At 46.1% G+C, this 25,032-nt stretch overlaps 1 protein-coding gene across 4 annotated transcripts in view; it reads left to right on the top strand.

Moving 5' to 3' along the window:
- VSTM4 (V-set and transmembrane domain containing 4) overlaps window positions 1-25,032 on the top strand; it is a 101,287-nt gene that overhangs the window by 17,075 nt on the left and 59,180 nt on the right. For all 4 annotated transcript variants that reach the window (XR_001747052.3, NM_001031746.5, XM_047424711.1 and 1 more), the window contains exons 3-4: window positions 12,425-12,493; window positions 21,122-21,229. Coding sequence is in view for 3 of the 4 variants with exons in the window: in NM_001031746.5 (NP_001026916.2) it covers window positions 12,425-12,493; window positions 21,122-21,229 (177 nt within the window). In the remaining variant the exon portion in view is untranslated. The remainder of the gene's footprint in view (window positions 1-12,424; window positions 12,494-21,121; window positions 21,230-25,032) is intronic.

Below are 25,032 nucleotides of genomic sequence, written 5' to 3'. Positions count from 1 at the left end.
ACATTAAGAGGTCAGATGTGAAGTCTTTACTGATGGACTGGATGTGAATGATGGAGAGAGCTTTGGGATGACACCCAGGGGTCTAACTCTGTAAATATGTGTAGCAGCTTTTCACTCATTCATCACGAGCAGGCCAGATGCAGGTGTAGCCTCACTGCAGGTGAGACGTGATGAAGTGGAGTGCACAATAATGCCCTGCCCAGCCCCAAGGCTGGTGAGGAAGGCTGAGGCCTGAGGGCTGTGTGCCCAGCACTGTGGGGGCATAGCAAGGCTGAAGGGGGTGGCACAAGGAAAACGGGATGAGAATTGAGGGAGCATAAGCAGGGGGGTTGGGATGATTTCAACAGGGAGGTGCACTGCTCAGCCATGTCTCCCTCTCTCCAAGGGGTGGCTTATTTACATTGAGAGTGTCCAGGGCATACTGAATTGGAACTTGTTTCATACCTGGCAGGCATCATAGCCTAGTGTTGGGATTCCCAAATACTCTTGGTTCTTGATGCCCTTAGGCCAGAGAAAAAAACAAAAACAAGAACACACGCAAACAAACAAAGAGCAGTTAATAGTTTTGCTGAAGTAGTTGAGTCACAATTTTAGGTAAGTATTGAGATGCAGACAACTTGTTCTTGTCCTCTTCAGGGTAAACTCCAAGGTCACCTTTGAAATGAGATGACAATTTCATATTTTAGGGGGCCAAAATGTCTCATGTAAGTGAAAAATAATATATAGCTAGTTATGGTAAATATCTTTTCAAATAATGATACTTCCTGAAGAAAAGCACTTTGCTTTGCCCTGTGTTGCACAGACTGTGTCCACCCATGTCTGTCCTGCATGCTCAGTGCTGCTGGGCCATGTGCTGAGCCTCAGACCTGCCCTTGATAACTTCAGTTGCTGTCTTCCTGTTTCTCTCATGTCTAGGGCCTGATTGCCCCTCTACGCACCCTTGACCCTTTGTCCCCAAGTCTAAGACATTGTGGTTTGTGTTCTGTCCTTTTTTTTTACCTTCCTTTGCTCCCTCAGCTTTGGGAATCTCTCCACCTTTGTGCCTCCTCCATTGTGCTTGACATCCCATCACCTCTAGACTTTTCTCCCTAGGGGACGGATCTGGCTTGGTGCCTCTGGAAGCACAGATTCTGTAGACTTGCTCAGCAGGAGGAGGCCCCCGGTGGGCATGGGGCAGGGCGAACCCTTAAGCTTGCTTGCTTCTTCAGGTGCTGCCTGGAGAGATTCCAAGATGAAGCATAAGTGTCCAAGGGGCTCCTGGTGAAAGATGGGCCCCAGCTGTAGCCCTGAGTGCCACGTGTCCTAAGGTTCCCGTGGAAAGCGTTGAGACAGGTTTGCAGGGCCATAGCCTGAGTGCACTTCCTGGGCCTTCACCCCAGGGAGCGTGTGCTGCTGGTGTTCACAGGAGTGATGTAGTCATTAGCCTCCCTAAGAGGCTCCTGCTCTTAGGGAGGCCACAGCTTTGATCCCCAAGACTTCAAAAAACATGATCTTTGTCTGGGCACGGTGGCTCATGCCTGTAATCCTAGAACTTTGGGAGGTTGAGGTGGGTGGATCACGAGGTCAGGAGTTCAAGACCAGCCTGGCTAACATGGTGAAACCCCGTGTCTACTAAAAATATAAAAATTAGCCGGGCATGGTGGCGGGAGACTGTAATCCCAGCTACTCGGCAGGCTGAGGCAGGAGAATCACTTGGACCTGGGAGGCAGAAGTTGCAGTGAGCCGAGATCGTGTCATTGTACTCCAGCCTGGGCAACAAGAGCAAAACTCCGTCTCAAAACACACACACACACACACACACACACACACACACACACACACACACGGTCTTCAATGGCTTTTCAACCCAATCCTACAACCCACAGATTCAGAAGCAGTCTAACCTTCTGAGCCAAAATAAATCTTCCTGCTTTTAGATGGAGTGGTCTTTATCAGCAGTGAAAATGCTAATAATAGAAGCAATTTGCAAGGGATGTCTCCTGCAGTTTAATCGTAATTCACTCTAAACCCACATAGTGTATTTTAACAAGCCAAATTGTTATTTGACTTAACATTATGTAAGTAAGGTTTAATGTGGAGACTGGACAAAGCAAATGGAAAAAACTGTTTGTCACCCTAAAAGTATGTGGGGGCAAAGATGAAATTATAATATGGTTTCTCATCTGACTGTTTAACCCCAAAGTGTGAGAGGAAATTTAATGATTAGATCTGAAGTTACTACCACAGGGAACTGATACTGCAAGTTTTAGTGGAAGAAATTAACGAAATAATTCCTTTTTCTCGGGAGACATGGAACAGATAATGAGGAATGAGATTTACTAAACATTTAGGGCTTCTGCTTAATTAAGCAAACACACATCATGGTGTTTAAAGTGTCAACAGGTCCAGACACTCAAAGGAATCAAATTGACAACCAGAGTGTAATTTAAACACCACTTTAAACAATTCTTCATCGTACCTACCCTCATTCCAACTGCCATGGTCTTGGAAGAGTTTAGATTAAAAACTTAATCTCACAAACATGCATGAAGCCCCAGTTTATGAGCCTGTCATCACTGTGCCTTTCCCAAAGAGAGGTACAGATGGAGATGTTTGATGCCTGCCCTCCTGGGGCCCCAGCCTCATAACATAGGGGAGAAGCCATGGTGTAGATGTGGTTATAGATTTAATAGACGTTATGGAGGTAGCAAACAGAAAGAGTGTGAAAGGGCCAGACGAGGGGGTGAGGCTGACATGGGAGTAAGGGAGATGAGGACACATTGCTGGACCATGGGAGAAGGTCACATGGAGGATGTGGGACTTCGCTTGGGGCACAGGAGAGCTTCAGCAGACAGCCCTGGGCTGTGCTGTTTCAGTAGAGACGACAGCCTGCTCAAAAGTGTTGCAAGAGGCCAGAGAGGCATGCAAAAGTAACTCAATGGACTTAGATGCATGTTTGCAATTGTTGGGGGACAGGGGTGGGCAGCAACAAGAGGAATGGTTGGAAAGATGGACCCAGCTGGGGACCTTGGTACCAAGGACCCTGCCGGGGCCTTCCGAAATGCACCCTCACATGTTATGTGGTGCATGTACACAGAAGGGGCCCAATGATGACTTTTTAGATGGAGGAGTGAATGAGTGATCCAAGCTCTTTTTCTCTGGAGACATGGCAGAGAAAATGGCAACTAGGAGTGGAAGGTAGTAGCAAGTGGATATATAGCCCTATCCTGGACTTGTGTGTGTAAAGGACCAGTGACCAAGCCCTAGGTTTCAGTATTTCCTAGCTTCTCATTGGGGACATAAAGATAGCCTTTGTGCTCTGTAGCTCCTTCACTTTCAGAATGTGGACTTCTTTTCCGACCGCCTTGCCATGGGAAGTCTATTTCATTTTTTTTGTTTGCCCTTTTGCTTGGTTTGCTGGAATTTGTCTTGGACTGAATGCGGTAGGAAAGGGCGGCATAAGCTAGACAAAGCTGGAGTTTCATTGTTTCTCATCGGCTGCTGCCTGCAGGTCACTCAGAGGTCCTACTGACATATATGGCTTTATTTGAGCCCCAGGGGAGACTGCCTTTGACCTAAGTCTTGGAGAGGCAAGGGAGAAAGGAAGCAATAGGCCAGTGCCTGAGAGCAGAAACAGAGAAGGTCTCTGTGTCTCCCTGGGGCTGCAGTGGCACGCCCCCCACCCCCTGCCACTGAGAATGTTGATCCAGTTATAAACAGCAAGGACACAGCTACATTTTAAGAGCTGTTTCCTTGGGAACCATCTCATCCATTGTTGAATAAGAAGGGAGAGTGAACTGAATACATTGAATTTGAATTTGGGACAAAGGTGTTGGCTCATCTTTGTTTTACTTAAGGATCTTTTCTTCTGCATACTTCACATCACCATCCTCTTCCAGCCCCTTTACATTTTCCTCTCCTATTAAAACCTGTGTAAGATGCTGCCTGAGGGACCTGGAGCAGGGTGGTACTTGCTCTCTCCTGGTGCAAATTAGCAAGGCCTACTTGCCAGGGATCAGGCTCCTTAACTTCTTCCGCTTCCTTTCAGCTTGAGGGAACTTAAGAATCATCTTCTGTTTAAGAAGAATCACCTTCTGGTTAGGAATCATCTTTGGACTTTCTGCTTCCATTCTGTAGGAAACTAAACTCCCAGAGGCCATAAAATAAATCATGACAGACACAAAGCCTGCAACTCCAAGGCCAGAATTTTGTGGAGAAGTTAGCCTCTGCAGCCAGGTGTGCTGGCGCAACCCCACTGCTTCTGAGGCTCCAGGGGAAGGACTGTTGCTGGGCAGGGTGGGACCCCCTGACCCTGGCCCCTCTCCTAGCTTTCCGGAAAGTAACAATGTCATAGTCCTGGTAAGGTGTACTTACCCCACTGTATCACGTTCATTTCATTCATTCATTAAGAGTAACTATGACGGCCGGGCACCGTGGCTAACGCCTGTAATCCCAGCACTTTGGGAGGCCGAGGTGGGTGGATCGCGAGGTCAGGAGATCAAGACTATCCTGGCTAACATGGTGAAACCCCATCTCTACTAAAAATACAAAAAATTAGCTGGGCGTTATGGCAGGCACCTGTGGTCCCAGCTACTTGGGAGGCTGAGGCAGGAGGACGGCGTGAACCCGGGAAGAGGAGCTTGCAGCGAACCTAGATCTTGCCACTGCACTCCAGCCTGGGCGACGAAGCAAGACTCCATCTCAAAAAAAAAAAAAAAAAAAAAAAGAGTAACTATGACTTGAACTATGGGCCAAGAAGGATTCTAGAAAGTGAAGAAAACAGACACAGATAATGAACAAGGTAGAATAAGGCATGGTCTGGTGCACAGTGATGGATTTTAAAGCCACACATTCCATAGAGAGAGGAAGGGTGTGAAACATTAGATCACCACTGGAGGAAGGCTTCAATTCAAATTGTCTCCAGTTTCCAAGACAGGCAGTTGACTCCTTGGGAAGACACGTCCATCCTTACACATGTTCTGCTCTTTTAAAAATCATTGTTTCTTGAAAGCTGTGTTCTGCACATCATTTTCTACATTGAGACATGCTATTAAAAGGTGCTCTTTCAGGGTCCTTTTGAAACGGGAAAAGTTCCCTTGTCCCCCTACCAGTGCATGCGATAGGGGTGTGGCTGGCTTCTTTGGTGCCCTGCTGCTCAAACCTTTAGGGAAGCATACAGATGGGCAGGAGCTGTGGGGCTCCGACCCCACGGCAGTGTCCAGGGGTGAATGTTTATAACTCCTGAAGCCCCAGTGGGCATGTGTTATGGGGTGCTCTCTTATTTTGCCGACTATAGGCTGCCTGTAGCTCAATTAAGACCCTCCACCTAGTCTCAAGGACAGAGGGCTTTCTGTATCCCGGGTTCGTGCCTTGGTGTACTGGAAGAATCAGATCACATGTGCGCTTGGAGAATATCTTATTCTCCAAGTTTTATTGAGTACAAGTAGCTCCCAGTCAATGGGGGAGGTAGAAGGGAGACGGTTTTCCCCTGGAGTTGGGCTGCTCTGTGGCCCCAGCTCTCTTCTGACTGCCTCGGCCAAACTCTGCCTGGTGCCTGGTCCCACTGGTCGATGTCCTGCCTACATACCAGTGCCTGTCTGTGTGCTCTTCTGCTGGCATAATCTGCTCCATGTTCTCTGGACTACCAAGCCGCTTGCGTCTTCTTCCGGTGACGTGCTCCTCTCGATGTCTGACTGCGTCTGTCTCTGCCTTGCTAGGTTCTCAACTTTTTATAGGCCCAGGATGGGGGCGTGGCAGGCCAGAGTGGTCTTGGGAAATGCAATATTTGGGCAGGAAATGCCTGTCCTCACCTAGGTCCGTGGAGGTGGAGCCCTAGCCAGGGACCACGCCCTCCTCTACCCAGCACGCCCCTTCCCCTTTCCATATTGTTCAAAGGGACCATACTCTTCTCTTCCCAGCACTCCCGTATCACTTTGTAGATAACACTTCTGTGGCAGGATCACTCCTTATCCTTATTACTCTTGTTTTCCCTAGATTAAATAGAAGAGGCATTGGTTTAGTTTTGAGTTCTAAACCCTCTCCTGGATTGGACAGGACACTGAGGCCCAGGGCCTGGTTTCTCACAGCAGGACTCTCCTCTCCCACATCTCCTTGTACTCAGTCTTTCTTCTAGGAGTGCACATGACAGAGACTCTCCAAGTAGGGTCCTCGGGCCTGGAGCCTCAGAATTTCCTGAGAGGTGAACTCCCTCTTCAGGCAGAGTCCCAAACCCTCTCAGAAACTCAGGGGCAATGCCTGGGAGTCTTCGTTTTAATAAGAGCCCAGTTGATTCTTCTGCACAGTAAAGTTTAAAAATATGGCTTTAGAGCACTAAGGAAGGCAGCACCTGCTAAGGACAAGATCTGTAGAGTCTGGGAGAAGGCTTCAGCTACCCTGGCCAGGGTAGGCACGGAAAGGGAAGGCATGTCTCCTGAGCCCAGCTGCCTGCCTTCCCTGCATCCTGGCTCCTGCTCCCTCCTGCCTCGTTCTTCCTCTTGGCCCGCCAGGGCCCCACCACTTTCCTCTCCATCGAATCCTGCGTTCTGGAAGGCTTTCCGTGTCAGAAATGTGCACCTGACTTTGGATATAGCCTAGAGTTGCAATTTAAGCTTTGTTAATTGTAAGATTCTTTGTTAAAGGAATTAGGGGCGCCAGTGGGAGAGAATTTCAGGAAAAATGGAGCCTTCCCAGGACCTCTCGGAATTTTTGGCCATCACTTCCGTGGGTGAGTAAGGTCAGTCTAGACAAAGCATGTCAGCGTCCTTGGTGAATGGGGGACCCCGAAAGAACCAGAGGCCCCTTGGCACCCAGAGGGCATTGTCACAGGGTCTTGGTGTGAACTCACCTGTGAAACATGCCCTCCCCAGGGAAGTTGGCAGGGTGTTCTTTCCAAGGCAGGAATTAGGGCTCTCGGTTTTCACACCTCTCTGAGTGATGGTTTCCCCCCAGGTCCCATCAAAGGGGACTTGACTGAGGCTCTTTCTTTCCAGCCTGCTTCCTCTAGACATGCAGTTGATAGAATCGGTTTGTCTCAGTACCTCTGGGCTGCATTCTTCCTGACTGTTTGATCCTGTGGCCACTTTCTTCAACAGAGGGGCAGTGACGTGATGGATTTCACAACTTGTCCCTTATTAGATTTCATCCTATTCTGTGCTCCTGGGGAGGCCCCAGAGTGGCCTGTAGCTCTGTCATCTGGGCCACTGCCTCCCCGGAAACTCTCATGGGCTCTGCCCATTGGGTGCTAGGGTCCCAAGGCAATGACAAAGCAGTCAGTAGGTCAGCTGACAATTTAGCTTCTGAGCACTCATCACCCCTCCCTCCACTGTGAGACCTGACCCATCAGATATAAAAACCCACTTTAGTTCCGATAACAGCTGTACTGAGATAGGTGGCTTGGCACTGAGATCAAATTGGGCTTCCTTCTACTTCCCTGAACAGTTGTCCTGCCTGTTCGCCTTTCCCCACCCCCCACCCCAGCATGGGGACTACATGCCTGTGCACTGTGGGAGCAGGAGGTCAGGGTCCTTGCACTGCCCTTGTCATGGTCTCCCTGGACACAGGACGGATGGTAGAGGAGTGTGTGCAGGAGTGGTCACAGGTGGGGCTCCGTGAGAGGCAGGGCTGGTGTCACTCCCAGCAGCTGGGGTGATGAGACTGTCCCAAGGGGCCCCACAGCATTTGCCCCCATGCCAGCTATTTGCTGGGAGACCAGTCTCAGAGCACAGGGCAGGACAGAGTCTACTTGGAAAAAGTTCTTTACCACATTCCTATCACCCAGAGGGGGGCTGTGGTCAGAAGCTCACCTGGATCAGGAGCTTTTCCTTGTCCACCAGGGGTGAGGGAGGTGGTGAATGCAGATGAGAGGGCAGAGAGGGGCAGCATCATTCCAGTCCTGCACCTTCCTGGGAAGGGATGGAAGTCTCATTTCTCCTCCCTATCATGAAAACCTGAGCACAGAGCAGCAGAGTCCACCATCAGGACCCTATAGGACCATTGTCTGGCTCACCAGCTGACTGTCATGCACTTGCTTTCCTCTTTGGGGGATTGGGCTGGGCACTCCTTTAATCATGAGCAGCTGTCAGGAGGGCAGGACCTCCATTCCTTTGAGCTGGTGCATAGGAAGAGTCAGCAAATTGGTACAAGAGGCTGTTGTCATCTTCTTTCCAATTGTCTGGAAGTCCAGCTGGATCCCAAGGTGAGCCCAGTACGGCAGAATGGGATAGATTGATTGACTCTTGCTTAAGGCTCCAGCCTTCTGATTGCTGAACTCATTGGAAACTGTTACAAAAATGCTCTTCCATCAGGAGATTTGCATTTTATTTCCACAAGTCTTTGAGCAACATTAGTAATCTGTGGTTGGAACATTTGCCACTTGTTCCTTAGTCTTGCCAAATTTTTTCTCAAAGCATTCCATCCTCTTCAAGCCCATCTACCCTGCTGGGGCCTCTTCCACTCCACACTTGAAGGTTGACCAAGGTGAATTTATATTAGCTGCTCACAGCTGTGCTGAGGAGGGCAGAGTATTTGTGGAGTCAGGAGACCTGCTGATTGTCCACTACACAGCCCTTGCTGTTGGCCTGGCTGCATCCCACAGCTCTGTTTCCTCATAGTCTGTGGACTCAGACCCCTGGCTTGACAATATATCAAATTCACTTTGAGATAGCACAGGATTAGCAGCTGCAACAAGATACTTATGGGAGAACCTTGGGAAAATTCCCGAAGATCTGGCAGGGTCCATGTAAAAATTTTTCTTTCTTGTAGGAACAAGTAAGATTAGGACTGGTGTTTCTAATAATCAGATGCCAAAGTTGCTGCACCGTCCTGTGAAATATCTGCACTGCGGGGGAGTGAGGAGCATCCAGTGATTCCTTGCATAGGGTTAGTTTAGAATCCCAGTTTGTTAGCTCTTTCAACACATGTGTCCATAAATAGATTAGGGAGAGCTTGTTGCTTTCTATCCTAAATAAGGGAAAGGGAACTGTAATTGGATTAAATCAAGGACCCACAATTTCTGACCCTGAAAGTTGCATAAAAAATGACCCGAAGGCACCTGTTGGTTAGAATGGCAGCAGCTCATTCAAGGTGTAGAGATTGAAGAGTCACCCCCTGAGGCAAAGGACTGACAACAAAGGGCCATTCTGAGGTTGGCGGGGGTGGAGGTTAGAGCAGTGAATAAAACAAGTGAAAGTCCCTGTACTTAGACAGCTAGTGTGGATATGGGCTCAGTAGGTCTCAGGCACTGTTCTGAGCACTTCACACACATGAACCCCTTTAACCCCTGCATCTACTCTGACATGGGCATTTCTCATCATCCCCATTTTACAAATGGGTAAAATAAGGCACAGGAAAATTAAGTGACTTATCCAAGGACATAAAACTAGCAAGTGGCAATTGAGTCTTTCAACCCTGTGAGCATGTGTTTGCCAAATTTTAAAAGGCATACATTTCACCCAGGGGATTTGGGCTTGAAAGCAGATTCTGATTCAGTAGATCCGGCATGGGGCCTGCCATTCTGCATTTCTGAGGAGCTCCCGGGTGACACTGACATTGCTGGCCCGTGGACCACATGTGGGGTGGTAAGGGTCCACACCATGATGGGTATCCTTGGCCTCCTGGAAACCAAGCTCCTTGAAGATATATGTGTATTGTTCATCTCCGTGTTGTCTTCATCAGGACCTTCTTATCCTTATCTAGGCTTGATTAGCTGAAGCCATGGAAATCCAGCCAAGCTTTTTCAGGAGAGAAGTGGGCACAGTCTAAGGGTGCAAAGCTCTTGGAATGCAAAGAGAGTAAATACAACATGCCAGGCCTTGTGGGGCCCAGAGTGCCATCAAGCTTTGGCCTCTCATCTTCCCTCTGCTATGCAGGTTCTAGGCTCCGCTCCATTCTGCTCACTTGTTTTCCAACATGGCCACCCACAAAATCCACTGGCTCTTTCAATCTCAGGGCTCACAATAACCACATGCACTCTGTTTCTTATTTTAAGTGTTTGAAGGGGGAATCTGGCAGTCAGTAGATTACAGGGGCTATGGGTATTGAGCAGGTCAAGGAGGTTGGGTGTGATGGACAAATTGTCTGATGTATCTTAGATCACATGCAAGGTCAGATATTCACTAAGAGCTCCTTCCTGGAGGTCCAGGTTGCTTCCTTTGGGAGGAAGTCAGAAAGAAATATATAATTCATATATTTTACCAAGCACCTATCAGCTGCCAGGCAATGTGCCCAGTGATAGGAATACAGAGGTAGAAGATATAGCCACTACTTTTTAAATAATTTAAGTTCTAATGGCAAAGGAGTTCTGTGATCAAGGCAACCTCTCAGCAGAGCAAAGCCCTCCTCCTGAGAACAATTAGGAAAACTGAAAATAAAGTCTATCAGCACTTCTGCTTTCTGATTCACATATCTACATTTCATAAATATATTTGTATTATATAATTACATATATATGTATATATACATATATTACATGTGTATATACACATATATATTACATATGTATATATACACATATATATTACATATGTATATATACATATATATTACATATGTATATATATACATATATAACATATATAATTATATATATGTGCATATATATCCAACTATCTTAATTGTTATCTGAAGGACTAGATAGGTAGTTAGATCACAGAGAAAAGCAGCAAAGTGAGCCCAATTGCTGGAGACGTTTAACTCTAAGAAACTCACTCATACTTAAGCAGTGCTAGTTGAGAGAAGCTATGGAGAAAGTGACAACCAGTATGTTTAGGAGGTGAGTTAGTTTTTGGCAGTTCTAACAGTGAGATAAAAATTGGGAGGTTGTGGTAAATACCCCAGGATTTTTGCTGGGGAACCCTGAAGGACCGAATGAACCCTGAGTAAGGGCAAACCAGAAATAGAGCGGATTCTATAAAAACTGAAAGCCTCTCAACAGTTCAAACCCTGATTGGATTAAAGTGACCATCCCCCTACTCTAACTTCCTATCAGGGAACCAAAATTTTATCTAGAGTCACCAAGATTTTCTATATACAATGTCTGGCATTCAATTAGAAAAAAGTTATCAGGCATTCCAACAGACAAGATCTAAAGCAAAAACAGATAACAGAAAGGAGTCTATGGGAAGTGCAAATATGAAAGTTTATCAGGCATAGACATTAAAATAATATGATTGATATGGTCGCAGAATTAGATGACAACCTAGAGAAATTCATTAGAGAACTGAGATATCTACAAAAGAATTAAACAAATAATATAGAACTGAATAAAAAGAATAAATGCAATTAAGAACTTAATAGAAGGGTTGTACAGAAGGTTAAACACAGATGAAGAGAAAATTAATGATTTGGAAGATATGTCAATAGGAAATATCCAGTGCAAGGCCCAGAGAGACAAAAGGAAGGAAAATTCAGAATTGAGATCATGACAATAATAATACAAAAGTTTGTGGGAGAGGCAGTAAATCGAATTTAAGTTCTAGGCCATCTTTGCCGTATTTCTTGTCTCTTTTGTTGATTCTATCTCCATTCAATTCTGGTCCTAGATTCTCTTGTCTAGAGCTCTTCGTTGTGGTAACCCCTGAGCACATGTAGCTGGGTAAATTAATTAAACTTAAATAAAAGTAAAAATTCAGTTATTTGGTAAGACTGGCTGCATTTAAAGTATTCAGTAGCCACATGTGTCCAGTGGCTGCTGTATTGGACAGTGCAGATATAGAACATTTCAATAACTTCAGAAGGTTCTATTGAACAATAATCTCATTCCGTGATATTTTACATTTTTCATCAGTCTGTTTTCTAGATCTTTACCTATGATGATGTTACCCCTGTACATGGAAACTTTCCGTGGGCCCAGACTCCTTTAATGTGATGTTCAAAGTTTCACACAGTGTAACTCAATTCTGTTTCCCTGCCTGTTGAAAGCAGGCAAAATGAATTCAGTGATCTACCATTACCTGAAAGAAGACAAAATGTTCTCACAATTAGATGCCTGTGGCTCTGTGGGTCTGTCTTGCATGGAGAATGGTGCTCAGAGCACTAACCTTGAGTCATCTGATGACTTCAGGTTCCTCTATCCAGGAATACTGGGACAAGTACACTACATTTTAGAAAGATTCCCACTAAAATGGTAAAATAAATCATGTATTAATTATTGGGTTTGCCACTGGGAACTTCTTATTTTTCAAGTCTATGGGGCAAGTGGGGCTTTTACTGAACTGCATCCTGAGCTTGCCATTTACTGGCTTTTAAACATGGATGACTTAACTTCAACCTCTCCTGTGCCCCTTGTTTCCCAACTGTTAGGTAAAGTCCTTGCACCCCTCCCTAACATGTGAGTTTTGACAACTAAATGTGGTTTTGCAAATGTAGAAATTGCTTTGTAAATGTAAGTGCCATGTGTACCATGTGGCATTATTTTTTCATACTGTGCTGTTTCTTTTTTGTCTTTCAGTCATTTCCCTCAAAGCTTCTGAAGAGTCATCCTTTGAGAAAACAAAAGAGACTTGGGCATTTTTTGAAGGTAAAGCTTGTATATTTCTTTTTTTTATTGCTCTATAGTTGCTTTTTCTTTTTCTTTTTTTTTAAATTATACTTTAAGTTCTAGGGTACATGTGCACAACGTGCAGGTTTGTTACATATATATGCATGTGCCACATTGGTGTGCTGCACCCATTAACTCGTCATTTACATTAGGTATATCTCCTAATGCCATCCCTCCCCCTTTCCCCCACCCCACGATAAGATGCAGCCTCACTTTTAGACAATAGGAAGGAAACAGAATATAAAGAAAGGACCCTAACTTCTTAGTTTTTAAGTTGTTTTCTTGGTCTAAACTTACTCAAAGTGAGATGGAAATCCCTGACAGTATCAGCCCACAGTTTTGAAAGAGTGGAAGTTAAAGCACCAGTCCACATAATTTTTGTTTGTTTTGTTTTGCTCCAGAATTCCTACTCCCAGGTGATATTAGGGACGAATCTTCAAGTGATATAAAAATGATAAGTACCTCTACTGTGACTACATTTTATTTCAGGTTGCTTAAGGAGTTTGGGGTTCTAGAAACAGTTTGCAATCCTTAACCAAGTAATTTTCAACCCATGCTAGAATCACTCATGGAATGTTAAGAACATGAATGCCTGGACCACATCTCTAGAGATTCTGATTTAATTGGAAGTTGTTAAAAGCTCCCCAGATGATTGCAGCATGCAGCCAGGCTGAGAACCATGGCCTTGGAACAGTGGTTCCCAAAGTGTGATTGCAGACCGGCAGCATATGCATCACCTGGGAGCTTGTTCCAAATGCACATGGCTGTGCCCTGCCCTAGCTTATAGAATCAGAAATTCTAGGGATGGTGCCCAAGAAATCCGGGGTTTAACAAGACATCCAGGCAATTCTGATGCACATTCAGGTTTGGGCCTTAGGGCAGGGGTTCTCAACAGTGGGTGACTTTTGCTACTCCAGGGTACAGTTGCCAATGTCTGCATGTATCTTTGGTTGTCACAGCTTTTGGGGGTACTCCTGGCATCTAGTGGCAGGGGCCAAGGATGATGCCAATCCTACAATACACAGGATAGTCCCCATGACAAAGAATTTTGGCTCCAAGTATCCAGAGTGCTGAGGTTGGAAAACCCTGTCTTGGAGTAAGGAAAGTTCGGAGAAATTATTATCATAAAGTGGGTGAGGATTATGATCATAAGCAATTAAAGAATGCACTTTGTGAGTTCTCTGGCAGAGCTTTGGATCAGTGAAAGGCTGATTAATGTTCAAAGGTGGTCAGGAACTTTGTAAAGATTATGTCTGGTGATGGTACAACATTTATTGATGAGGAATGATCTAGCCAAAAGTCTCTAAGGAGAGGCACATGTCTTGAGGCCTTACTGTCACCCTTTGTTAACCCATTGTATGATCTGGCAGAAGGAGGGCCATCCTTAGGGAGCAAGTACTTGCTTTCAAGCTCACCCCTTCCAATGCCTAGTTATAAAGCAGTAGACTGAAACACATTCTGTCTTAGGAAAATGTAACTTTTATTGTGAACATCGTTTGCAGACCATAAGGTGTCACCCACATAGGCCTCTAGGATTAATTGTTTTGTTTTGTAGTCATAAATATTTTGTTTATGAGATTGCACTCATGAGAATCCAACAGTGATTCTTTGTATTTCCTGATGTTTCTCTGCATTTTTGTAGTTGCCTTTTTCTTTATTTGATGACTGCCTCCTAGTAAAATAATCCCCATTTCTCCCACTCAGCCTCTCATTAAGAGAATGCCTACTCATTGGCATTGGCAAAGAAATGAAAATGACTTTACTTCTCATAGAGTGAAGCAGTAGTAAGGGCAAGGTTTACCTTTCTCATTACTATTTAGTAAAATTGAGGCAACCCCATTGATGTTTGCCCCATGTCTCTGGAGCTGCCCTGTGACCAGGCACTGTGATGGGTTGGGATATGGAGAGGGCCTGGCTGTGGCAAGGGTAGATCACTAGGGATGTGACAGCTGGAGCCTTATGTATCATCAGATGCATCAGAATCTTCCAGGGAGACTTCAGGCTCCAGCCCCTGAGGTTCTGGTTATAACATTAGGAAGGGATCAGAGAACTTTCAGGGCCACAGGTGATTCCTATGCAAGTGGTCTGAGGACCATACTTTGAAAATGCCATGGTGCAAAAACAAGACCATATATTTGGAAAGATTGTGGCATTTAGACCCAACATACCCCACAGCATAATCAGCATTTCTGAAACCCTTTGTGCAATTAACAGTATCTCATAATTCATGTGCAGCTATAGAATGTCAGGGTTACTCCCGACCTAACTCTCTACATGAAATCTGTAGCCCAGTATGTGCTCTCTTCTCAACAGAGAGAATCAGGCCTCATCCAAAAGCAGAACTGGCATTCTCGCTATGTGTAGTGCCTGCCTCAGAGCAGCTGTTTACAGACCAATCTTTTCCTATGATTTCGGCAGCAGCAGCGTCTCCGTGCTTTGCTTTTTTAACCCAGCCGTAGCTTTGGCGAGGTTAGAGGTACAGTTGAAACTCCCTGGCGCATGATCCCAGGCCTTTTGCCCTTTTGTTCCTGGACGAGAGAGCTACAGTAGGGGTTGTGGATGGATATCCATCCTCCTGGGGCTTAGTTCATCCTGGCTGTGAGCCCACTGCACAAAAGAGGCATTGATTGTCAGGCCTCTTTGTGAGATGCTGGAGTGAGTTAAAATCCTTTGGGGCTATCACTCAGGTATTTCACCCTGAGCAAGATGGTATTACAGGCTGGATTAAAAAATAGAAATACACAGCCTTATGTCTCAAACTGCTATCTCCTGACTTTTCCATTTGCCCTGGAAATGTACAAGACTGAAGCTTACTTTCTTGATTCAGAAAGCAGGGGAGAGCGGGGTTCCTGGACTCTGCTGAGGGGCACTGGGGTCACTCTTTTTCAAAGGAGCACTGAATATACCCCTGCTGGGATCAGGGTTGCTGGGCAACAGGTGCCATCTGCCTGGCCCTGGCTTGGTGGGGCTGTTTGGGAGGGCGGGAGCTGGCATGCTGACATTATGCACCCCAGTCTTGGCCTGTCTCTGCATGGGCAGCTGCTCCAGCCTGCCAGCCCTGCCATCTGCTTCAGGGAGGCCTGGGCATTTTCTACATGGCAGCTTGCAGTTGAGTCTAAAAATGGCAGTGATGCCTTTGGAAGTTCAATGGCAAAAGACAAAACTGTAAATGATTTAAGAGAAAGGGAATGTAACATGATTTTTAGAATTATTGTGGGTGTGCAGCTATATGTGTTTTTTTTTCTTTTCCTTTTGTTTTTGATGGAGTTTTGCTCTTGTTGTCCAGGATGGAGTGCAATGGCATGATTTTGGCTCATTGCAACCTCCGCCTCCTGGGTTCAAGCAGTTCTCCTGCCTCAGCCTCCCAAGTAGCTGGGATTACAGGCATGTGCCACCACACCTGGCTAATTTTTGTATTTTTAGTACAAAAATTTGTACTAATTTGTTTCACCATGTTGACAAGGCTGGTTTCGAACTCCCGACCTCAGGTGATTGGTCTGCCTCGGCCTCCCACAGTGTTAGGATTACAGGCATGAGCCACCATGCCTGACCATATGTGGTATTTTAAAAGTGAACTCCAGATTTGATTAATTGCAGATATTTTGTTAAACTCAAGCCTTTGTTGAAAGGTCTGGCTTCAACCTTTCAACCAGCATTATTTGGCCTAGTCTGAGTTTTAAAACTTTTGAGCCAACATTTTATAGAGAGATTTTTACATAAAAAGGTAAAGGATGAATTGGAAGATCTGGCACCACTGGGCGGGCATTCCAGCCTGAGAGCAGTGCCCTGGAACTGAGTGCGGCAGGGCTTTGCATTAGCTGACATGACAGGAAGGTGACTCTGCAGTCGTAGGAATTTGTGACCCTGGCTTCAATGGCTCAGAGTTTAACTGTTGTTTGCAGAGAACAGCCAGGGAGGGGGGTTTTCATGTTTTGAGTGGACACAGCAGGGTGGTTATCTTTATGCAACAAAAGGAATGCTTGTAACAGAAGGGAAAAAAATTCGGAACATAGGCATACTGGTTGCTGCTCAATCAAGGGGAACTCAGGTGGTCTTTCTGAGCTTTTCTTCTCCTGCAAGGCAGCACTTTTTACAGATCTGTAGCTTCAAGAACAAAACAGAGAGTGGCCATGACCGGTCTTGTGTGTGTGGGGAGCCACACGCAGGCAGGAGGTGCCCGCTGGCTGGTGTCCATAACTGGAGGCCTGTGTGTTTGGCGGCCAGCTGAGCCTTCCAGAGTCGCCAGATGTTTTCTGATTCTGTAGCCCTGGCTGCCTGTGGGGAGCCCCCTTTGAGCCATGTTGAGGAAGCTGTGAACTGAAACTGTAGCTTGGGCCTTTTGAAGCCCCTGACCTCCTGCCTGGGCAGAGTGTGCCCCAAATGTCTGCAGCATGCTGCTAGGGACACTTGGGGAGAGATGCCTACTGCGGTTCTTACCTGCAACCTTGTCCCTCCTGGGTTCCTGCTGTTCTGAAGCGAAGGAAAGAGCTCAGATGAAGAGGTGAGCTTGTGGATCAGCTGCTGTGCTCCATGGGCATGGAAGCTTTTGTAAGACAATTTTTCTCTCCACTCCATGAATAAGACTAAAGGCAAGTTTCTCTGCCTTTTGGTCTGGGGACCACATTTGCATAGTCCCTTCCAGGCAGGTGCTGTGTTCACCTGCCTGAGGTTCTGTCGGCCTGGCAGCCTGACTGTGTTGTTCACCATCTTCTCCTGCCAGCAAGGGCTCTGCCATCCTGTTCTGGAGTAGTTTGCTGACCAATGTGGAAAGGCAGGACTGGCCGTGGGTTTGCTGGGTTGTGGCCATCCTGTGCCCTGGGATCCTGCCACAAATCCTGGTCTGTGAACTTTGCTCTGTCCCTGAGTTCGTCATGAAGTGTCTTGTCCAGAATCCAAGAGTCCTGTTGCTGAGTTTCACACTGTTTAAATGGATGCTGCAGCCTCTCTCCTAATTCTGACCCCTCACAGAGTTCTCCACCCTGTTAATCTACAGAGCCCACACATCAGAGACACAGGCATTTACTAGAAAGGCAGTTTTGATTTTTAGCTATGTGAGAACTTTCTCAAGCTCCTCACATTCCATCAGCTTCTGGACCTCTCTAACCTGACTCTGCCCCCACCAGCCTACTGACAGGGCTTTCCTCCAAGACTTTCCCAGTAGCTTCCTAGGAGCAAAACAGAGTGGATGTTTTCCAGCAGTTGATGCTATTAAGGCATCCTTCTTACAGTGCTTTCTTCTGGGCTTCCAGAACTCTCGCCCCAGCCCTCCTCTGCATCCATGACTAGCTCTGATCCTTTGTAGGAGACTCCCTTCCACACACCTGCCCCTCTCTCCTTAAATGTTAGTGCAGATGCACCCTTCACCTGCTACCTTGCCCTAAGGCACTTTCTACTTATTTTATTTTCAGTCCAGACATCTAAATTGCCAAGAGCAGAAATCTATTCAAACTAGCTTAGGCAAAAATGCTGACTGCCTTAAGAACACAGGAAGATCTCATAGACTCCAGGGGCAGAGGTTCTGCTGGGCTTCCCTGGGGCCTAGGCCAGGGAGGGGAGAGTCAAAAGGAACCTGAATGTCTGATTCCATTTCATGCCCCCTTTCTTCTCATTAACCATAAGCCTGACCTGCTTCTCCAGGCTCTCCCTGGGAGCCAGCCACCTGCTACTCCCAGTAGGCTTGCTTTTTCAGCTTAAGCACTTAACTAACTGCTTCTCCACGCCACAAGGGCTTTACAAATGTTCTTTTCCTGTTGACTCAGCTATTCCACTTCTAGGAACTTAATCTTGAGAACATATTGTGAAAGTTGTACTAAGGTTTAAGTTCATGAATGCTCACCACAGAATTATTTATGATGGGGAACAGGTAGAAACACTTTGAGTAGCCAATAGTAAGAGATTGTTAAATCATTGCTGATATATTAATATGATAAACTTTTATCATATTTTTCAAAATGATTCTGAATCATTTTTGAAAAGAATTTATTGAGAAAATGAGAGAAATTGAAAAAAGATGTGAAAGTATATGATCTCAATTTAAAAATATATGCATATTCATCATAAAGTATACCAAATATTTATTAATAGTAGTTATCTCAGGGTGACAGGATGGCCGATGGCTTTTTTTTCTATACATTTTTGTATTTTTTGTTATTTTAAATACAACTCGGTGCAGAACTCTAGCCCTCTTGGAAGCTTCTCTCAGCCTCCCCAGGCTGGGCTGGGTGTCTCTGAGTGTTCCTGGTATTGGACACACGTTCTTATTGTTACACTTACTAAGTGGTCCTCTATTTCTTGAAGAGAAAGCCTTTGTGTGTGCATTTTTATCTTTCTTGGACTCAGGAAAGTACTGACCATGGCTGATAGTAAATGTCTGTTGGTTGTAGAAAGTTAAGTCAACAGAGAAACATTTTTGCTAAGTTCAAATAAATGCCTGTGGCATTTTTCTTCAAAGATGGTTAGAATAATGCTTTTGGCTTCCCTTTTCACTTTCTGAGCAGCTTGGCATTGTATTGATCAGACTAATGATAACGTTGATTATTAGAGTTTAAGAAATGTAAGTATATGTAGCTGGGCACTGAGTCTCATGCCTGTAATTTTAGCTACTCAGGAGGCTGAGGCGGAAAGGTCTCCTGAGCCCAGGAGTTCAAGGCTGCAGTGAGCTGTGATTTTATCACTGCACTCCAGCCTGGGTGACGGAGTGAGACCTTATCTCTAAAAGAGATGTATGTACATGAACATGGTTTAACTGTTCAACTTAGACAACTTTTTATTTTGAGATTATTGTAGATTAATATCCATTTCTGGCCAGGCACAGTGGCTCATGCCTGTAATCCCAGCACTTTGGGAGGTGGAGGTGGGGGGATCACCTGAAGTCAGGAGTTCAAGACCAACCTGGCCAACATGGTGAAACCCTGTCTCTACCAAAAATACAAAAATTAGCTGGGTGTGGCGGCGTGGACCTGTAGCCCCAGCTACTCAGGAGGCTGAGGTTGGAGAAATGCTTGAACCTGAGAGGAGAAGGTTGCAGTGAGCCAAGATTATGCCACTGCGCTCCAGCCTGGGCCACAGGGCAAGAAAGAAAAAATCAATTTCTAAAAAATCATACACAGAGATCCCTTGTACCAGTTTGTTTCCTTTACCTAATGTCTCCCAATGATAGCATTTTGCAAAACCATAAAACAATATCACAAACAGGATATTAACATCCATACAGTCAAGATACAGAATATTTCTGTCATTATAAGTGGCCCTTGTAGCCAAACCCATTTTCTTCTCACCACCACCCCCTTCTTAACTGCTGGCAACCACTCATCTGTTCTCTATTTCTATAATTTTGTCATATCAAGAATGTTACATTGATGAAGAATGTCATATCAAGAATGTAACCTTTTGGGATTTTTTTTTTTTTTTCACTCAGCGTACTTCTCTGGAGATTCATCCAGGTTGGTGTGTGTGTCGATAGTTTGTTCTTTTTATTTCTGAGGATGCTGTGGTGTGGATGTACCACACTTTGTTTAACTATTCACTTGCTGAAGGATATCCGGTCTGTTTCCAGTTTTTGGCTACCCAACATACATGTACAGTTTTCCATGTGAACTTAAGCTGTCATTTTTCTGGGACAAATGCAAGGAATGCAATTTCTGGGCTGAATGGTTGTTACAGGTGTCTCCTTTGAGAAACTGTAAAGCTCTATTCTAGAGTGGCTGAGCCTCTTTACATTCCCACCAGCCACGTCTGAGTGACCCAGTTTATCTGTATCCTTGCCAGCATTTGGGGATGTCACTATTTTTTATTTTAGCCACCCTGAAAGGCATGAGGGATATTTTACTGTAGTTGCATTTTGCATTTCTCTAACAGCGATAGAAGTCAAACATTTTCTCATGGGATTGTTTGCCACCTGTACATTCTCTTTAGTGAAATGTCTGTATTTTTTTTTTTTTCATTTCTCCAACAGGATTGTGTGGTTTTTGCTGTTGAGTTTTTAGAGTTCTTTAGAGTCTGGATAGTAGTCCTTTGTTGGATATGTGGTTTACAAATATTTTCTCCCAGTCTGTTTGACTTTTTATCCTCTTTATATGTTTGTTTACAGAACATCAGTTTTTAATTTTGGTAAAGTCAAGTATAGTATGTCAAGTTTTACTAATATAGACGGTGCCTCTTGTGTCAAGTCTAAGAACTCTGTCTATTCTTAGATCCCAAAGATTTTTCTTGTGGGTTTTTTCTGAAGTCTTCTAGCTTACATTTTACATTTAGGTTTGTGGTTCATTTTGAGTTAATTTTTGAATAAAAGGTGAGGTTTATTTTAGTTTTATTTTCTGCCAGTGGAAGTCCCATTGACCCAGCACCATTGATTGAAGAAACTGTCCTTCCGCCGTTGAATTACTTTTGCACTTTTGTCAAAAATCAACTGAGCATGCCTGTGTGGGTCTATTTCTGGGCTCTCTGTTCTGTTTCATTGATCTGTGTCTGTCCTTGCACCAATACCACACTGCCTTGTTGACTGTAGCACTGGGATTTCAAATATTCCAATTCTGATTGTTCTCTTGCCAGCGCACTTCTGCTGCGGCCCCCAGAAGGCTGACTCACGTGTCTGTCCTTGCCTTTCAGATCTCTATGTGTATGCTGTCCTCGTGTGCTGCGTGGGGATCCTCAGCATTCTGCTCTTCATGCTGGTCATCGTCTGGCAGTCTGTGTTTAACAAGCGGAAATCCAGAGGTAAGAAAACAGATAAGGTCATGTCTGGGATGGGAGCACACCCCGACCACAGACGGGCGGAAGATGCTAGACAAAGTACCACCTTGGTGGAAAAGTGCATTGTGAGTCAGGGATTATTTACCTGTGACTGTGGGCAAAGTGAGCAAGCTGTGTTTCCCTTGGACTCTGCTAAAATACACTGTGGCCATCATTGACATCACTGAATTTCCCCTTTCTCGGTTTCTGAGGCCCCTTCCTGCTGTCAATCTCCCTGAAGAGTCTGTGGCATCAGATGAGCCTAGGGTTGGATTTTGACTCTGCAGTTTGAGGCTGAGGTTTTGGGCAAGTTCCCGAGCCATTCTGAACATGGGTTTCCTCATTTATGAAAGGAGATTGACACCCTCTTCCCTCAGTGGAATGTTCTTATGAGCGTTCACTGGCAGGCAGGTGGCACTTGGGAAGTCTCCCCAGTTCTTTCCCTGACCAGTCTGAGAGTTCCCTTCCGTCTCCTTTCACTTTGGTGTCCCTGTTTCTCTGCACTCTGCCTTCAGCCCCTTCCTGCCTTCCTCTCAGGAAAGTGTAGTTCTCATGACTCTCATATCTCTATGAACACTGCCTGATTTCTCGAGAGTCTCTGCTTCTCCCCGAGCCCCGATTTCACTTGCCCAGCAGCTCCTGTTGGAGGTCTCCTTTGAGAGCCTCTCCCTGCATCCTGCTTCAGAATCTCCAAAACAGCTTGGGGACACTGTGGCTCCCAGAGATGACCAGGGTAAGAGCCGAGCTCTGGAAATGGACCGACTCCGGTTCCAGTGGCTCCCTTACTTACAGGCTGACAACCTCCTTCTGTGCCTGCTTTCCTCATCTGCGACATGGAGGAGGCAGGAGTGCACCAGTCTCAGGCTCATAGTGAGGACTAAGTTACCAAAAGAAAGATGCTAAAACCTGTAACACAGGCTCCAGCGAATGTCCTGCTTTTATGTTGACATATGGCTCTAATTATACACAATAATTGTCACTGTTAGCTCAAGGTCATAGAGCTTGGAAATATTAGATTCAGTGGTCACAGTTTGAGGGGCCACTCCAACAGTGACTCTGTGCAGCATTAATGCAGGGGTGTGGGCAAGCCTAAGGGACAATGAGGGAGGTGACACATCCAATGACAAGTACCCATGGGATGCTGTTTCCATCCTAGACCTTAAGGGACAAGGAGAGGGGAGGTTCCTGGAATGCACCATGCGTTAGCTGCAGCTTTGGGAGAGGTGTCACCATCAGGGGTCTGCAGAGAGGGACTCAGCTCCTGACAAACCAGGAGGCAGCTGGGAGGGAGCCAGGATGGTACACTCCTCAGGCCCTCTCCCCTCCCCACTTTGGATCTCCTGCTGCTATTGCCCTTGGTGCCACCCACCAGAAGCCAGGGGGTCAGGAACAGGAAGGTGCCTCCAGGGCTGAGCAGGCTGGACAAAGGTGGACGGGGATCCAGAGGGCAGTGGAGAACTCCAGCATGCTCCACAATCGGCAATGGGGCAGAGGCTGTAGCATGGGTGTCTTTCCTCTGGAGCCTGTGCTCTCCCACCAGCCTCTGCCTGTGTCTCTATGCTGTCCTTCAAAGCCAGCTCCAGGGCCTTCCCCTGCAATACCCACCTCCCTCATCAGTGGCAATGCAGCTTTTTCCTGTTCTCAACCCCTGAATACTCTTGTGAGCTTGTGGCACATTGCACTTGTGCCTTGGCATGGGCCTTCCTTCAAGAGGACAGTGTGAGAGGCAGGGACCACACATTCAATTCATTCTCCTTGGAATGTGGCTCAGGACAGATGCTCAGCACATGGTGGACAAATGGGTTTATTTCCCACCTGCCTTACACCCAACTGTTGGAGTGTGGAAGCCACATAGGCAGTTTCCAAGCTGGGTATGCTCTGAAGGCACTTTTGCCTGGGCTCAGGGGCATGATCGAGAGTCTGCACTGGCTGCAGGCCCTGCTAGGCCCTAGACAGGATCAGGGAAACAAAGAAGGGCCAAGAAGGGCAGACTGGGACATGTGCAAGCACCTGGCATCCTCCTCCAGGCCTCACAGAGAGGCTTCAGAGAATGGGGATCCCAGCTGCCTCATCCCCACTGGAGTGGGCCTCAGATGGTCCCATTTGCACCTGTGCACAGTGCCTGAAAACCCTCCCCAAACCACAGCTGTCCAGAGCGTTGTCTGAGCACCCGCTGTGGGCCAGGCACCTCATATGGCCCCTCCATGTGCTTATGTGACCCTGGATGAGAGCGACAATGCTCTTACCTGACAGCACAGCTGAGGAGCTTGAGAAGGCCCTGAAACCAGGGAGCGGTAGGGTGAAGTTGAGCCCCAGCCTCTCAACTGCTGGAGTGTGGAAGCAACATAGGCAGTTTCCAAGCTGGGTTCCCAAGCCTCTCATGTTTCTATTCAAGAAAACCTTGGCTATCGGGGGCTGACCTTGCCAAGGGAATTTTTCTTTAGCCCTCCATGGCAGTTGTTGCTGAGGCTCTTCCAAGACAGCTCTAGCCAGTACCTGCATCTCCTAGTAGTTTGGTTTTGGTTGAGTGCAACTCCCATTGGCAGGGCAGGTCTTGCCCCATGCACCTCCAGGAGCCAGGCATCTTTCAACTCACTGTGGGGCCAAGGATGGAGGACCGTGCATGATGGGCCTAGGTAGTCTCCTTCAGCTGGGCCCAGGAGTCTTAGAGCAGCCCTCCCCAAAACTTCAGGAGCAGACCGTTCACGTGGGAACCTGCTCAAATGCAGATTCTGATTCAGGATGTCTGGGGCAGGCCTGCAATCCTACATTTCCAGCCAGCTCTGCTGCTGGTGTGAGGCCATGCTTGGAGTAGCAAGGCCTTAGAGCTGTTCTTCTTACCTCTATCCCATCAAGCATCCTGCTTTTACAACAAGTATTTTGGAATGATCTCTACTATTTTAAAATGAAATTCATAGATGAGCTATACTATGTGTACCCCCTCAAATCAACTTAATGCTTTATAATTAAAGGAAAAATCAGAGGAAAGCAATTTATAGCACACTGAGACAAATTCTAGTATTACACCTCTTCTTTGAATCAGTGTGAATTTCAGAGAAGATAATAATCCTTTATATTTGACGCTTGAAATAAACGCTAGATAAGCACCTGTTTGTATATGCGAAGACTCAACATGCAGGGGACAAGGATCAGCATAGACAGACACAGATGGGCTGTAATATCCAGGAGAGGCACTGCCCATGGTGATGGGATTCCTAACATCCCAACTGTTGGTAGGGTTTTTAATGAAAGAAAACACTCTTCAGCCAATTTGCACACCCTTTAAACATTCATTGTGCATTAGCATGGAGAAAATACACACCTTGTGTTTCCACATAAATTGGACTTAGCTTCCAGGCTCTCATGAATGGGTTTCCTCTTTTCTGCATGAATGTCAAGAGGGTTACTCAAAGTCTATAGGAGAAATCTTCATTTGTGGACTTTCCTATATATCACAGATGTCAAGCTTCCCTGCCATGGCCTATCAATGGTCAAGGATTGTCCCCAATCAGTGCTATAATCAGAACATCCCCTGAGCGTTCCAAGTTGTCCTGTGGTTGGGGGAAGGGCAGGATTGTTCCCCCTGGAAACCATGGGCTTTGAGCTGATTATTCCCAGGTCCATTGAATTGGAGGAAACAAGGCCTCTGGGACCCCCTGAGACAGGCTCAACAAGGGAGTCATGGTGCAAATGGAACACTGTCTGTGAGTGATTCTGCTTCTGCCATGCTCTGTCTGGGGTGTAAGTGGTCACATCAAGCCCCTGTGTCCTAGCTGAGAAGGTGGGGA

The sequence above is a fragment of the Homo sapiens genome, chromosome 10, assembly GCF_000001405.40.
Source record: "Homo sapiens chromosome 10, GRCh38.p14 Primary Assembly".
In the NCBI taxonomy this organism is placed as follows: Eukaryota; Metazoa; Chordata; class Mammalia; order Primates; family Hominidae; genus Homo; species Homo sapiens.
Note: the sequence above shows the minus strand (reverse complement) of the source record. Positions and strands in the feature narration are given on the sequence as shown.